Genomic DNA, 16,594 nt, shown 5'->3' with positions numbered 1-16,594 from the left:
TGTGGAAGGAAGGCACTCCCAGGGAGACTGCCCAGTGCATGTCTGGTTGACTTCATTATAGGCAGAGATAATTTAGGTCTCAACGATGGCATTTTTACACTGCAGCTACACAGTGCCAAAGGAAAACATGAGACAGGGTGAGAAAAATGTGGGTTAAGTGAGCAAGAAACAAAAAAGAATGAAGAGTATAAAGAATCATTCAGTTGATAGGAAGGAATTGGATGGTCCTCATATTCCCCAATTGAGTCTCCCACCTTCTGATCTTCATGACCTTGGTAGAGCCATGACAGGTTTCCTCCAAGGATGCCCACAGCTCATGCACCAAAGGTAGATCCCACATTTTTTCCTAAAGGTACAGTGTTTCTAGGGTCATCTTGGACTCCTTATTAGCCCACTGAAGCCAAAGTGGCAAAAGGCACCAAATGTTTTCTCACTGCCATCCACATCAACTGAGATAAAAATATTGAATGGCCACATGTAGGAGTTACTGATGAAGAAGTTTTCAAAGAGGTAGGAGTCATCAAAGAAAGGGACAAGGTTTTGTGGGAGGTCCTCAAGAGTAGCATGATGACAGAAGTCCCTCAGCCACCCGATACACCACTGCTGGTCTTCATGCCTACAGGAGGAACCAGGCAGAGGCAACGCGGCCCATCCTGGCCCTGTCGTAATGTTGTGGGAAAGGGGTCCTGATCCAGACCCCAAGAGAGAGTTCTTGGATCTCGTGCAAGAAAGAATTCATGACAACTCCGTAAAGTGAAGGCAAGTTTATTAGGAAAGTAGAAGAATAAATGAATTGCTACTCCATAGACAGAGCAGCCCCAAGGGCTGCTGGTTGTCCATTTTTATGGTTATTTCTTAATGATATGCTAAACGAGGAGTGGATTATTCATGTCTCCCCTTTTTAGACCATATAAGGTAACTTCCTGACTTGCCATGGCATTTGTAAACTGTCATGTTGGTAGTGGGAGTGTAGTAGTGAGGATGACCAGAGGTCACTCTTGTGGTCATCTTGGTTTTGGTGGGTTTTAGCCAGCTTCTTTACTGCAACATGTTTTATCAGCAAGGTTTGTATGACTTGTATCTTGTGCTGACCTCCTATCTCATTCTGTAACTTAGAATGCCTTAACTGTCTAGTAATGCAGCCCAGTAGATCTCAGCCTCATTTTACCCAGCTCCTATTTAAGATGAAGTTTCTCTGATTCACACACCTCTGACATTTTCCCCCTCCCTTTTAAAAGAGAACCCTTAATCCTAAGGGTTGCAAAGGGATGAAGATCCATTTTCTGTAACTTCTTCAGGCGGAATAGGGGCGATAATATTTCTGCCTAGCTATTAGGGTCTCTTGTGTTCAGAGTAGAGAGGAGCTCAGTCAGAAAGCAACAGTATGCTGGGGGCCATTCATGACTCTTGAGTTCTGAAAAGAGGTGACAGCTGGAAGAGTTCAATTTAAGAAAACATTGAGTAAGCTTATTCTGTGTTCCTATAAAATGAGTACAACAACAGTATATTCCACAAGAGTAAAGCAAAATAAGTAAAATTATCCCAAGTAAACTAAATAAGAAGGCTTTCCATGAACTGGGCAACTGCTGGAACCAAGCTGATATGGTATTGCTAGCTGATTGTAATGTGCCCATAATAAGAATATTCATCCAGATATTTACATTACCTATCCCTTTTGTTTCTTCTAAGCAACAGTCGGAGATTACCGGTTGGTTCACAGGAATAAGCAGGGTTAGCTTAAATTGCAGAAACAAACTTAAAAATAACCAATGAGACTAGAATTTAATAACAAGCATACCATAGTTCTTGAAACATAACATTTCTCTCTCCAGTTTCCCATTTTTACTAAAGATAAATAATGGTAAGACTGATTTGTTTTATTACACTTGGCCTGGTTATGTGTATAAAGTGCAGCAAGAATAATTATTTTTCAAATAAGCTCTTTGTAAATTGGCTTTGATGGAACTCTGTTCCACAGAAGGAATCTCAGATAAGACTTTTTTTAAGGCCAAGATCTGCCATGGGTTTGTACCCTCAAATACCTATGAATTGAGTAAATTCCCATTCTCTTGAGGTCCCAAGATAACTTGGGGCTCCTGGACCTGTTGGAAAGTGACATTCTTTACTTACCACAAGTCAGAAATGTTATATAGGGACTGTATAGGCAAGGTATGAGGCCAGTTCCCCAAAGGGCTTTTATTGGCTTTATAAGTCAAGTTTTAATTGCTTAAGGAAAGCATGCCATTCCCTTTACAATTTTTGTTAAAGAGCAGATAAGTGCTCTAAGAAAAACCTGTTGTGCTTTTGTTCCAATGTTTAATTTATGGAAAAACTGAAGAATACCCCTTTTACTTTAGCCTATATGTTCACACACAGAATCTCTTTTACAATTAATTTTTTACAAACCTTCCATAACTTGTTCAAATCTTTAGCTTTATTCTATCTAACTTAAAACAATGCTTTAACCTTTTAATCTAGGCCAAAAAAAAAAAATCATATTCCCATGCCTTCTTACAATCTTTACCAAAAGTACATTCTACTTTCCTTAGACACCTTGTATGTAAAACTTCTGTAGTCTCAATTGTATGTTATACTGTTAACTCTTAGCGACTTTTACTTTTGATGAAAACCTTGGTAAGTTTGGGTTTTTAATTGTGTACTAGGTGTGGAGCCTAGCCTAGGACACATCAGGCAGAAGTGCAGATAAAAGCTGACTCTCCAGCATAGCTACGGGGTGTGGCTAACTCCACATGTCCCCAGGCGGTATCTAGAATCTAATGCTCCAAAGTAGGTAAATTGGGCCGGGTGTGGTGGCACATGCCTGTAACACCAGAACTTTGGGAGGCTGAGGCAGGCGGATCACCTGTGGTCAGGAGTTCAAGACCAGCCTGGCTAACATGGCCAAAACTTGTCTCTACTAAAAATACAAAAAAATTAGCCAGGCCTGGTGGCACACACCTGTAGTCCAAGCTACCCAGTAGGAGACTGAGGCAGGAGAATCGCTTGAACCTGGAAGGCAGAGGTGGCAATGAGCCGAGACACACCACTGCACTGCAGCCTGGGCAACAGAGTGAGACTCCATCTCAAAAAACAAACAAACAAACGAAGTAGGTAAATTGAACAATTTCCAAAAGTCATAGAAGCAGTTTATGACCTTAAATCATTTAGTGAACTTAATATCTGACCTGTATAATTTAGACCAAATGTCTTTATTTTACCAATAATCTTTAAAACTGTTTTTGTTTCCCAAAGATTACTTAGGTCACATGAACTATAAGGCATTACACTTTTTATTTTTCTAACAAAATATTTGATTTAAGCTTTCATTATTATTAAACCAATTAATTAAAGCTTTTTCATATATAAACATCACACATATAATACATGTAAATACACAGACAGACAGAAGATAAAGGATCATCCCCTAAGCCAGAGTTGAACCCTGAACCTCAGCCTCCATTGTGAAAAAAGAAAGCACAGCCACATGGTTACAAGTTACATGTTCCAAGGACATGACTGACCAGTTTGCTGGTTTGTCTTAACAGTGGGCTTTTAAGTTGTCCTAAGCCCACGTTGTATCCTAAAGTACCCCTCATTATGACAGAACAATACAGAAAGACAAATTCATAGCACAGACTACAACAGATTCACTATAGCTTAAGTATAGCCTCACAAATTCTTTTTCCCATTAATTAAAACTTAACAGGAGATAAACAGTGATCTTTACCATTCAACCAGTTTGCACGCAGAGAGAAAGGAAAGCATTGCCTGAGGCAGGGTGGGGAAAGTGAGGCGCTCAGGGAGGCCAGATAAAGACCCACCCATTGCAGCTACAGTGAAAAGTTCAGCGGCTGCCTGTCTGTCATGAAGGGATCTTTTCCAGCAATCCCATCATCTCTCAAGTTTCTCCTTTTAGGGAGGAAAAAGCTCCCCACGTCCCACAATCCTGTACATATGGAACCCTGTCACCCACAGCCATCAGCAAAGGCAGTTAACCCAAAGAGAATAACAGTTAACATCCCGTAGTGCCAAATCGGTTCTTAACGGAAAGGGACATTATTGGGAGGGGTCTCCAACCTTCTAAATCTTAGAAGGGACTCTAACCCAATCCCATCCTTTACCCGGGTACCCCACCACTTACCCAAAGTCATCCAATCAGTGCTGTAGTCTATTTCCTTTGGGTCGGGGGATCTGCTCAGTATCATCCCTTTAGGGTTCACCAGAAATACGTCATCGGACCTCAACACTTACCCAAAGTTAGCCTTCGGGTCAGGGGTTTTCTCACTATAGTTGCTTCCGTGGTCACCAGATTTTACAGTACCCCAACACTTACCCAAAGTTAGCCTTTAGGTTGGGGGTTTCTGCACTATTGTCCCTTTGTGGTCACCAGAAAGATATTACAAGAAAGGGGTCCTGATCCAGACCCCAAGACAGGGTTCTTGGATCTCGCACCAAGAATTCAGGGTGAGTCCATAGAGTAAAGTGAAAGCAAATTTATTAGGAAAGTAGAGGAATAAATGAATGGCTACCCCACACACAGAGCAGCCCCAAGGGCTGCTGGCTGCCCATGGTTATTTCTTGATGATATGCTAAACAAGGGGTGAATTATTCATGCCTTCCCTTTTTAGACCATATAAGGTAACTTCCTGACATTGCCAGGGTATTTGTAAACTGCCATGGCACTGGTGGGAATGTAGCAGTGAGGATGACCAGAGGTCACTCTTTTGGTCGTCTTGGTTTTGATGGGTTTTAGCCGGCTTCTTTACTGCAATCTGTTTCATCAGCAACATCTTTACTACCTGTATCTTGTGCTGACCGCCTATCTCATTCTGTGACTTAGAATGCCTTAACCATCTGGGAATGCAGCCCAGTAGGCCTCAGCCTCATTTTACCCAGCTCCTGTTTAAGATGGAACTGCTCTTGTTCACATGCCTCTGACACTAATACCTTTACCCTGCCCTATGTGCTGAATCAATGGCTTAGAAAGAAATGTTTTAATATCTGAATTTTCACTTATTTTTTTATCCCCAAATCCCCTTTCTAACTCAGTTTAAGTAATTGAGAGGCTTATATCCTGAGTTTAAGAACTTCTCTTGGTTCTCTGTCTTGTTTTCCAGATCTTCCAATTCATTTTGCCCATGAAACTGTGAGCTCTGTGAGGACAAGGTTCACATCTCTCTTCTTCTCTGTTGTGTCACCTGCACTGGGGACAGAGAAAGCCTGGTACAAAGTAAACATTTGAAGCTCAGAACCTTTGCCTGAGTTGGTCTGCTTCTTCCACCCTCCCATCTGTGGGTCCGATGAGGGCATCTGGGACCACAAAACCTACTGGCATGCATGCCTGTTTCAGTGAAAATGAGACGGCTAGAGGAGAGTGCTCTGGCTGGGTTATGGATGTGAAATTGATAGCAAGCTTTCATGTTTCAGGGTTTTTTTTCTATATATAAACACTGCTGCTCTTTGGAGGGTTACGTGCTTGCATCCTAAAACAGCACCTTAATCTCCCTGGAATTAAATTTCATGACTGCTTTGCAGAAACTGTCATGGGTAGGAATAGGATCCTCCATTTGGAGGGGTTATGGTGTGTAGCTTCTTCAGGTCTCTGAGGCTGAAAATCCCTTGGCTCCTTGTATCACCTCCAAGAGCTGTAACTTCATTATGCAGTGATTACTGTCATTTATGGGGAAAGACTGAGTATTTGCAATGGATAGATCAGAGCTCCCTCCCATTATACACACAGTCACTCAGAAGGATTCTTATTTGTGGCTTTCACTTTTCATTTGGCTTCCTCTGCTCAGGTCAAAGAGATTAAACTTAAGAACCTAGGGGAAGAATAAAAATATTAGTACTTTTTGATTTGTTTGTTTCAGTATTTCTTCTGATCTTTTCTGAAGACAGCTTAGGGTTATAAAGAAAAGTTTAGACTATAGGCCTGGTTTGTCATTATTCTCTATATGACAGTCAGCAAACTGATGTCTCACAGTCACTATTTCTTCAGCTATGAAATAGAAATATCAACTATTCAGATGGGTATCTGTAAATGAAAGGGAAACCCAGTTATTAGTTGTTTTATTATTCTGGGAATCCTTTGTCTCACTAGGCTGTCTCCCTGGTCTCCAGAAACCAGGGATGAGAATCTCAACACCTCCTTAAGTTGCTTTAAAAAATCTACTCCTGCCAGGCACATTGGCTTACACCTATAATCTTAGCACTCTGGGATGCTGAGGCGGGAGGATTGCTTGAGCATGTGTTTGAGATTAGCGTGGGAAACATAGTGAGACCCTGCCTCTACAAAAATAAAAACAATTACCCTGATATGGTGGCTCTTGCCTATAGTCCCAGCTACTCAGGAAGATGAGGCAGAAGGATTACTTCAGCCCAGGAGATCAAGGCTGCAGTGAGTCATGATTGCTCCACTGCATTCCAGCCTGAGTGACAGGGCGAGACCCTGTCTCAAAAAAAAAAAAAAAAAAAAAAAAAAAAAAAAAAAAAAAAAAAATCTGCTCCTACAAGTGTCTTCATAAGCAATGTCAATTTTACTGAAGCTTTTATAAGATTAAAGAGGAAATTTATATTACATACATGATTTTTTTTTTAACTTTCATTACTCATTGTTGCTCTCCTAAAGACCTTCAGCTGAGCAGCTCTGGGTATGATGGAGCCAGAAGTGCTTTCTAACTCTTCCTCAGCAGAGGGTCTGGTCTACCTGGACTTTCTCATTCCCTTCCTAGGGAACTTGAATTCCTTACTCTACTATTACTATGCAGAATAGCTTTCTACTCTTTGAAGCCTTGGGGCCTTGAAACCCTAAGGGGACTTCCAAAAACAAATCAGGCAGGTATCTTTAATGAAGAAGTTGTCTTTGTTATAAAGAAAACTTTAAAATTTCTATAGCATCAGATGGCCTGGATTAAAATTCTGATTCTACAATTCACTAGCTTATGACCTTAGGCAAATTGATCCCCCTTGTTGAATTTTAGTTTCCCTCTCTGTAAAATAGGAATAAAAGAATTTATATTATAATGTTGTTTTTATGATTAAATGGGACAATCCAAGAAAAGTGCTTAGCACAAACCCAGAAATATAACCCCATAAACATAAAAAATAAATCTGTAAAATGCCTACATTGAATGCTTTTGACAGGGAGCAATATTGCTATTTCATATGTTTTTACATGAGTCAGATGATATCATGTATGTCAAAATGGTAAAGATTTCAGGTATTGTTAGGAAAATATTTTTATTTGGGTACACGATAAGGCAGGGAGAATTTCTAGAGTCAACAAAGCAGAGTTATCTGTGACAAGAAACAGTTCTGGCTGGATTTTGGAAGTGTGAGAATTTTTTTATGTGTCCAGCACCCTTCTAAATTTCAATGTATTATCTCCCCCATATTCTCAGGCCAAGGTAGCATCACTGTTTTTTCTTACTAGGACAAGTGTGGGTTCATGGATTGGTCTTTCAGCTTAACCAGAGGTCTGGTCAATGGGATTCAATCCCACAAACATTTACCAAACTTCAATCTGATAGGTTTTGATTGGATGGTATCATCTGCTGTATGGTGGACAAGGAGATGTGCCACCCAGATTTCCCTTCATGAAAGGACTTTTTGCCCCAGTTGACAGTGGGCAGCTTCTGCTGACAGTTTCTTCAGGCTTTGCCTCAGCAGCAGAAAGACACCCAAGGGCATGCCCTTCTTAGGGACCCTCATATACAATGACTGATCAAGGCAGGGGTCCGAAGATCCAAACAACCAGGTTATTTTGGCCAACAGAAGAACAATTCTGTGGGGTTGGCTGAGGCTTTGTCAGGCCACATCCCAGTTCAAATCTGCATCTGCCTAGCTTTTTCTTCTCCAACTTTCCCTCCATGTTTGTTGATCTCTAACAAAAATCCTACAAGCCAAACTTTGTCTCAATGTCTGCTACCAGAGAAGCCAACATATGACATATTATTTAGGACCTACATCCTTGACCTTTTAGTGAATTCCTAGGACCATGCTAAACATTGTGGGGTTTATAAAGGAGGTGCACATTCTTGTCCCCAAGAAACTCCCTAGGAACGCAAAATACACATGCACACATATACATGCTCACACACATGTACACATAAATACATGTGTACTAAAGTAACTAAATAATAACGGAATATTATTTAGGTGATAATATGCAAATATAAGTGATTGTGTCACAAAATGACAGGCAGAGAGAATGTATACAGAAAATTTAAAAGGCCAGTCTAGTTCAGGGAAAGGAGATGGGCTTGTGTGGACTCTGAGGGTTGGGAAGAATTGGGAAAAGCACCCTAACATATAATTTAAAATGTTTTCCCTTCTAGCAGAAAATATGCATTCTGGCCTTCTCAATTCATGATAAACAACCAGATTAAATGTAGCTACTAATCCCATGAGCCCTTGCAATTTGTCAGGAAATTGCAAAACGGGAGCCTAGAAATCTGGAGGACTGCAACAGAACCAAGAAGCCATGCTCATTTAATACAGCTGACCTGGCAGCTTAAAGGTCATCGTGGTGTATTGGGTATGGAATGTGTTGAGCAGCCTTAAGGAGATTCTGGAAGGTTTCAGATAAGAAGGTTTGGCAAACACCATGTCTGTGCTCACTCACTGGGCTCCAAAACTGGCTTCCCACTTGGTTGCAAATGTTGGATGACAGGACCCCTGTCAGATCAAATCCTGGGTCCCCTCAATACACACAGAAGGAGGTGAGGTCTAAGCAGCATTTGTCCAATGGGCAAATAAATGAACAGGCAGAAGAAAACACTCTTCCAAGCTGCCTTACTCTTTTATTCATTCAAACATTCATTCAACATTATTTATTGAAAGCTTACTATGTGTCAAGGACTGTTCTAAATACTGCACTCAAAGGTCATAAAGGTCTAGCGGGAGTGAGAGATCATAAAATATAAAAAATCAGAAAAACAAATGATTACCATTTTGATAACTGCTATAGCATCAATAAATAGGGAAAAAGTGAGGACAAGCTCCTCAACACAGGCCAGTGGGGAAAGGCTTTCCAAAGGAGGAGACAAGTAGGTAGAAACCATAGAACTGGGTGGGAAGGTAGCAGGTGAGGTGAAGGGATTACATTTTAGGCAGGAAGAAGAGCTTGTGGGAGGAGTCTGAGAAAGAAGGTACTGTAGAACGTTTGAAAAATTATGAAAAAGCCAGGTGGCTAGAAAAGAGTGAAGGAGGGGCAGGTAACTCAAGTGAGGATGGAAAAGAAGCAGGATAGATCACTCAGGGCTGTGTCAGGAGTTTGGATGCAACCCATGGGCAAAGGGAAGCTCATTAAACATGAACAGTAATCCAGTTAAGTTTAAAAGCACATTCCTTCTGCAAGGTGGAGAACTGATCCCAGATGGCTTGACCAAAGACTTTGGAAGGCCAGTGTGATAGCATGTTCTTGGTCTCTGCGTCTTCCACTCTTCTGTTGCTTTGTAGTGGTTTCCAGCCCCAGAATTGAACTGCAGAACTTATCATGGTGCGTGCATGCTGGTGAAACTGGTGGTCTCCTAAATTGAGTTTGGGGAGATGCATATGAGAAAGGCAGTGGAGCACATCTAGAAATAACTTAGGTGTTGGTGCCAGTTATGTGGCATGTTGAGCTTTGATCATTTCACCTCCCTGGGCCTTGATTTTGTTCATCTTTAAAGAAAATTAAACAGCATCCTCTCTACTTTCCCTGTACAGGGTGGGGGGTGAGGAGTCATGAGATAACAAATGACTTAGAGGCATAGTACTTTTATAACCTGGAATTAGATGGCAGGAAAACAACAAAAAAATAGCATGGTAGTTTTTAGAAAATAGAGCTATTTTCTTCATAAAATATTGTTATTAAATTACCAGTAAGACAGATAGACTACATTGGTGAGAAGTCAGAAGGATAGAATTTGAAAGAAGAGACATAATTTTGCTATTTTCAAGTATATACATTTATAACAAGTAGAGAAAAATTTATTTCTGGTGATAATGCTACAGAATTCCTCTTAAGATATGCAAACCATATTTCTTGAACAATGTCCCGAGACACTGTCTTGGGGTCATTGAGCTGCAGTGGGGAATGCATGTCAGCTTACACAGAGCCTTCAGAGAAGGGCAGAACTATCTACCTCCTAATAGCAGGGAAGAAAACTTGCTCCTAAAAGGGAGGGGAAAAAAAGAAAATGGCAAGGAATGAACAGGAGAGGAGGGGAGAGAGACAAGAGTGGCAGAAAACATTGTAGGATACCGTGTTTTCTCTCCCCTTGACCCCTCAAATCTTCAGTAAGGTGATCTAGCTCACAAAATGGGAGTAGCTTTACTTCCCTGAAAACAGGAGAATGGGCCAATGGCACAACTGACTGCAGGAGATAAGGACAGAAGTCATCAAGAGAATGCAAGGTCCTGGGGACTCCTAAAAATCTTGGAGCTTCGGAATTAGTCATTCAAACCAAGATTGCTTTGTTCGCCAAAAGGCAAGAATGCCACTGCTATAACCTGAGTTATAAGGGAAAGCAAACAAAGATTATTACAGAGTACACTTAGATACGCAGGTATCTCGCAAATGAGCACATTCATTAAAGCTGCCCACTTACTTGAGACTAGTTATTGTTTTGTTTTTTAATGCAGACCTAAGGGTCACCTTTCTCACATCATTGTTTGCATTGCCAAACTCTTTCTTCCCAGAACATGGAAGCTTAACCAATTCCTTCTCCAAATCATATAATTCCAGTTCACTTGAACTAGATGCATTTCTGTGCATTTCTTTAAACAGCCATCAGAATACAAGGTAGCATGAGCTTATCTGAGAGGTAAGCAGCAAAGAAATCACTGACTTAAGTGGGTGGAGAATAAAGACTTCATGCTTCCTCCTAGGAAATAGCATTCAAGAGAAAAAGACATTTCTTTTTTTTTCTTTTTTATTAACTGTTCTTTTTAAGTTCAGGGATACACGTGCAGATTTGTTACATATGTAAACTTGTGTCATGGGGGTTTCTGGTACAGATTATTTCATCACCCAGGTATTAAGCCTAGTACCCATTAGATATTTTTCCTGATTTTTTTCCTCCTCCCACCCTCCAGTCTCAAGAGGGCCCCTGTGTATATTATTCCCCTCTATGTGTCCATGTGTTCTCATCATTTACGTCCCACTTATAAGAACAAGTGGTATTTGGTTTTCTGTTCCTGCATTAGTTTGCTAAGATAATGGCCTCCAGCTCCATCCACGTCCCTGCAAAGGACATGATCTCATTCTTTTTTATGACTGTGTAGTATTACATGGTGTATATGTACCACATTTTCTTTATCCAGTTTATCGTTGAGGGGCATTTAGGTTGATTGCATGTCTTTGTTATTGTGAATAATGCTGCAGTGAACAGACGTGTGCATGTGTCTTTATAGTTGAACAATTTACATTCCCTTGAGTATATACCCAGTAATGGAATTGCTGAGTCAAATGGCATTTCTGTCTTTTAGTCTTTGAAAAATCACCACGTTGTGGAGGAAGACATTTCTAATATAGCATTTTCAGATTTGATTTTCATTATGACATTTCTTTAATATTATAAAATGCTTAAGAATATTGGCTCTAGAAACTAATTCCTAAGTTCAAATTCTTATTCTATAACTTGCTATTGTGTGACCTTTTGCAAGTCTCTTAACCTCTCTGAGCTTCAGCTCAATCTTCCATAAAATGAGCACAGGATTATGGTAAGTATTAAGAGTAGATGAGTCCTTACCAGAGTGCCTGGTACTGCATAAACACTTAGCAAATACTGTCTTTATTTCTATAATTATCACTATATTTAATATGTGTGCTCTTTATCATTGCTACCTAGAGCTGAAACTGCATACAAAAATCTATTAATAATACAATTTCTCATTTAACTAGTCTAAGCTAACCTTTAAAGAGGTGAGTTTATGCTCAAAGTTATATATTTGACATTTCTAATCTAATGCTTATTTTTATTGGCTCTTCCTGGTTGCAATGGTATCATCAAAACTTACCGGTTCTATTGTCACAATCTTCTGCTAAGGCAAAAGGAAGAATCCTATTCAACTGAACTCATTAATGGCTGATAAGGACATAAGGTATAAAATAACTTAGATGTAATTTTCTTCATTCTTAATTCAAAGGCATGGGTTATCATGGATGGATGGCATGTTTATGGATACCATTCATGGACAGACACTCCAAAAAATTTACCTCTTATCTCGAGTTTTGCTTTGATTTAGTCACATGACCATGAAACAGTCATTTAGCCTTTCTAGGTCTTACTTTGCTCATTAGTAACATAACATCAAGAAATACGTCTAGGTCCATTTTTATTTTAAGGCGTATGAAATTCATATTACATTTTGAAAAATTTTAGAGAATGTTCTAGATCTGGATCTGCAATTAGAATGTATAGAAAAAAGAATAGGATCAAAACCAAGAGATTCAGGTTCTGAATCCAATTCTCCTATGTTTTTATTATGACTAAATTCTTGATTTTATTCTTGAATAAACTTTGCTTCTTCGTTATCTTTAAAATAAAATTATTACATTAAAGCTATACCCTCCAAAGCAATCCATGGATTTGCAAAACAATGGGTTAGGTGTATAGATTTCCTTGCTATAGGAATTCCCAGTGAGTTGAAATGCCAATGTGCACCGTGGCTATTAGAGCAGGGATTACTTTACAGTCTTTCTAAAATTTCTTTTATGAAAGAGCCATTCCTTTTTTCCCACTGTGGCGCTTACTTCATGAAATACCCTTTAAAAAAAAATGGAGCCAGGCAACCAGCAAAGTCCTTTGTGATTTTGGCAGCTCTAGCCCTAGTCTTCTGTGAATTTGGGGTGAATATGGCAGCAGGGATGAAGGAGAAACAGATTTCAAACCATAGATTCAGTGCAGCCTCATTCAACATCCACAGCAGAGCAGCAATGCTCTCAAAGAGTTAAACTGCCCTCCCTTAAGCCCAAATTCACAGGCCCAGAGGAGTTTGGGATCTAAAGGAGTTATCCTTTTTTTTTTTTTTTTTTTTTTAAGTCTATTTATCTGTCGCTAATAGAAAGATGGGAAAAAATTCTATAACATAAAATATTATAAGCCTCTGTTCTGTGGGATTTTTATAATTCAAGTAAAAGCATTCTGGAAAATGAAAACTTTAAAGAGGTTTCTTTTGCAGAATGGAACAAAAGAGTTGGGCCTCTTCACCTGGCTAATGCTGATAATTATCTGTGAAGACCTCTCTTGCTCTCTCAGATGAGTTTCTCTAGGTTTCAAAAGGAACTAATTCCCCAACAGCTTGAAAGGATAGAAAAGAGGTTGTCAGATGATAAAGTTGTTTGGCTTGACATAAAAGATTCTGAAACTCAGTATGAAAAGAAATGCTTCTAACATGACCTCCTCAATGACAAAAATTGGCATGTTTTAAAATTGCCACAATGTTTTATACAAAGTTTTTTATAAACAAACCAATGGTCTAATGTTGTCTTTATTATAAATTTGGTGATGATGGTATTAGAAAACTTGTAATTTAAACCCAGTAAGGAATGAAATAGAATTACTAAATTAAGTATTCGAAGTAAAGACCTTAGAGATTAACTTGTTTGTTGTCTTTCATTCAAAGAAGAAGAAATCAGTCCAGAGAGAGAAAGTGACTTACACCAGGTCATGTGGTAGATTAGCGTCAGAGCCCAAGTTAGAAATCTTGTCTCAAACATTATTTTAAAATAAGCTGGATTTGGCAGACATGGATCTGGATATTTTATTTTTTTAATATGCAAGCTTTTGTTTTAAAATCCTTACTATAATCATCCATGAAAATATAGAGTTTTCGTATTTTGAGGAGCTTAATACTATCCCTTTAAGAATAATAATGTGAGCACTTACTTCTAAAACCACAGTAGCAATACTGCTTTAATAAAATGCCACCTAGTGGAGCTTTGGAAGCAAAACACACTTCCTCCATATATCCCTCTCAAAAAGAAACACCTTCTTTACACTCACACTTTAATCAATATCATTATCTCCCTGAGTGCTACATGATTAAAAATAACACTGAAAATTGTCCTACTTCCAGAACACAGCAGGGAAGATGACACTGCACAAAAATAAGTTGGATCACAAGAAAGAAGACATATGGGGTCAAATTGAAACACATGGGGCTAAAGGGCCTTAAATCTTTACCCCCATTTTACTGTAATAGAAAAAAGAATTAGAAGCAAATTTGTTGTGCTAACATCTTTCCATGGTTTGGGGGATCCAAATTGGCCTGGAAGGTGGTGCATGTAAAGGGTGAACATTATGAACAACTTACCAGAAAAAAAAAAACTCTCTGGAATCAGAAAACCTCAGGACTACGAAGTACCTAAAATGGTTTCTGGTTCAGCTTTCAGACTGTGGTGAGGTCCTCACTGATTCAATTTAAAGACCCCACCCAGATAGTAACGTGAACAGCATCATGGAAGAATGAATGGGCCAATCTGTAAAGTTACACATGGAAAACTAAAAATAATGCATGAATACTAGATAGGCTTTTTCAACTCAGTAGAAAAAAGAACCCTCAAAATCAAAAGTGTCCAACATGGAATGAAAAGGCTGTCCCTGGAAGGCTGGAGAAGTATAAGTCGAAACTATTACACTGTTAAATTTAAAGAGGCTTAATATTAACCTCATAGAGACCTAATATTTAAAAGAAATTGGAGGGAACTGTGCTTAAGGGGAGAAGATTTAGGAATCTGTCTTTGTCTTAGGTTGGTTCTTCCGGGAAACAGACTCTGAGAGGGAGATTTGAGTTCAGGATGTTGATTGAGAAGTGCTCTTGGGATCAGTACCTGTGGAGGAGTGAGGGAAACAGGGCTGGGCAGAGGGAGGCATTGAGCAGTTATACACAATCAAGAAAGGCTTCAGCAGATTCCATGAGGAGGTCTAGAGCTGGAATGGCCTTTACAGTTGCCCTGTAAAGAGGCAAGGAAGCTAGACTGTTATATGCCTGCTAATCAGTCATGGCTTTGGGGTTGCCCCAGGGGCAAAGGTGTGATCTTGTATTAACAGCCTTCTTTGAGAATAATTCTCAGAGGGAAATTCAACTGAAAGCAGTCAGCTGTCAATACATGAGTGCCTCAGCTTAAAAGGGGCATGTGGACAGGTCCTGACAGCATCCACTAAAGCATCTCTCCCTGTCTCTCTAGAATGCAACCAGGAAGCTACTCTTGTCATACTCCAAAGCTAAATAACCTTTAGCCTGCAGTTGTTCACAAAAGAGTGTTCCTCAAGCCTTTTTGTTTTCTATCTGCATGCTTCGGAATACCTCCCCCACCACCCCACATACAATCGTTTGCATTGGCCCTTTTCTATAATATCTCAGGATACAATAGCCTATGTTATGATAAGATAAAAGTCTAACTCATCTTTTTCTGACATTTGTCATATAAATTGTGTCCCACTTTGACTCTTAACTTCTCTGCACCTTATTTTTTAATCTACCAAATGGGTATAATCATATCCCCTCTCATTATTATTATGGAGACTAGATAAAATAATGGCTGCAAACTAGCATAATATTTAATCCACAGTAAATAATTTGCTATTCATTATTATAGAAAGAGAGAGAGAGAGAGAGAGATTCGTGTATATATGTACTCACACACACAAACACTTTCAGCCCCTAGTCTCCAATGTCTTTGCCTAGACCAATGGTTCTCAGAAGTCCCTAAGACCCTTTTCATTGGCTCAAATTGTTTTTGTAGTAATACTACAGTATTAATTGCCTTTTTCACTTTCCTTTTTTTCTTGAGGGTAAAATGAAGTTTTTCAGAGGCTGACATGTATTGATATCATTTCTTTGATGTCAATATGTAATGAGTTTATTACTGCTATTTTGAAATAAATTTACAAAAATTTAACTTTTTTTTCTAATTTCCCATGTGCTAAATATGGAGAGATGTAATCTATGTAAAGAAAACCTTTCGGGAAGTCCTCAGTAATTGTTATAAGTGCAAAGTGTCCTGAACCTAAAATGTTTGAGAACCACTGACCTGGACATACCGTTGCCTCCTTCCAAACTTCTCTCCACATTCACCACCCACTTTTACCACCAAACCTGCCTGACAGCCTTCCCTGACTTCTATTTCAAGGCTGCTCTCTCTGCTTTTAATATTAAGATCAACTCAGGATACGTTCTTGGAGATGGAGACATGGGATGAGGTCAGAGAGTACGCAATATGTTTTGCCCTGAGGGACAGTCACATGAAAGCTTCTTGAATATCAAATGAGGTACCAGTGAATCAAACATCGCAGTTAGAACTTGCACAGAAGATGCTGAGTGGCACCAAATGGATCACAGTGACTGACGCCCTGCTGCACAGTTGCTGACTATATTTTAGAACAAGCATGTGCAGAACTATGTGGATCCCATCGTTAAATAAATTATCACGTGAGACTTTCTCTAGTAATTACCATAGAGATGACTCACTCAAGTCAATTTGACAGTGGGACAGAAAGTTGCAACAATGCAGTTTTAAACTGTCAGAATTTAGAAAAGAAGTAACTCTCATGATATTTGCACAGACCTTAGTTTCTTATCTTCTCTCTAGCCCTTGAGGATTGTA

Source organism: Homo sapiens, chromosome 5 (genome assembly GCF_000001405.40).
Source record: "Homo sapiens chromosome 5, GRCh38.p14 Primary Assembly".
Lineage (NCBI taxonomy): Eukaryota > Metazoa > Chordata > Mammalia > Primates > Hominidae > Homo > Homo sapiens.
Note: the sequence above shows the minus strand (reverse complement) of the source record.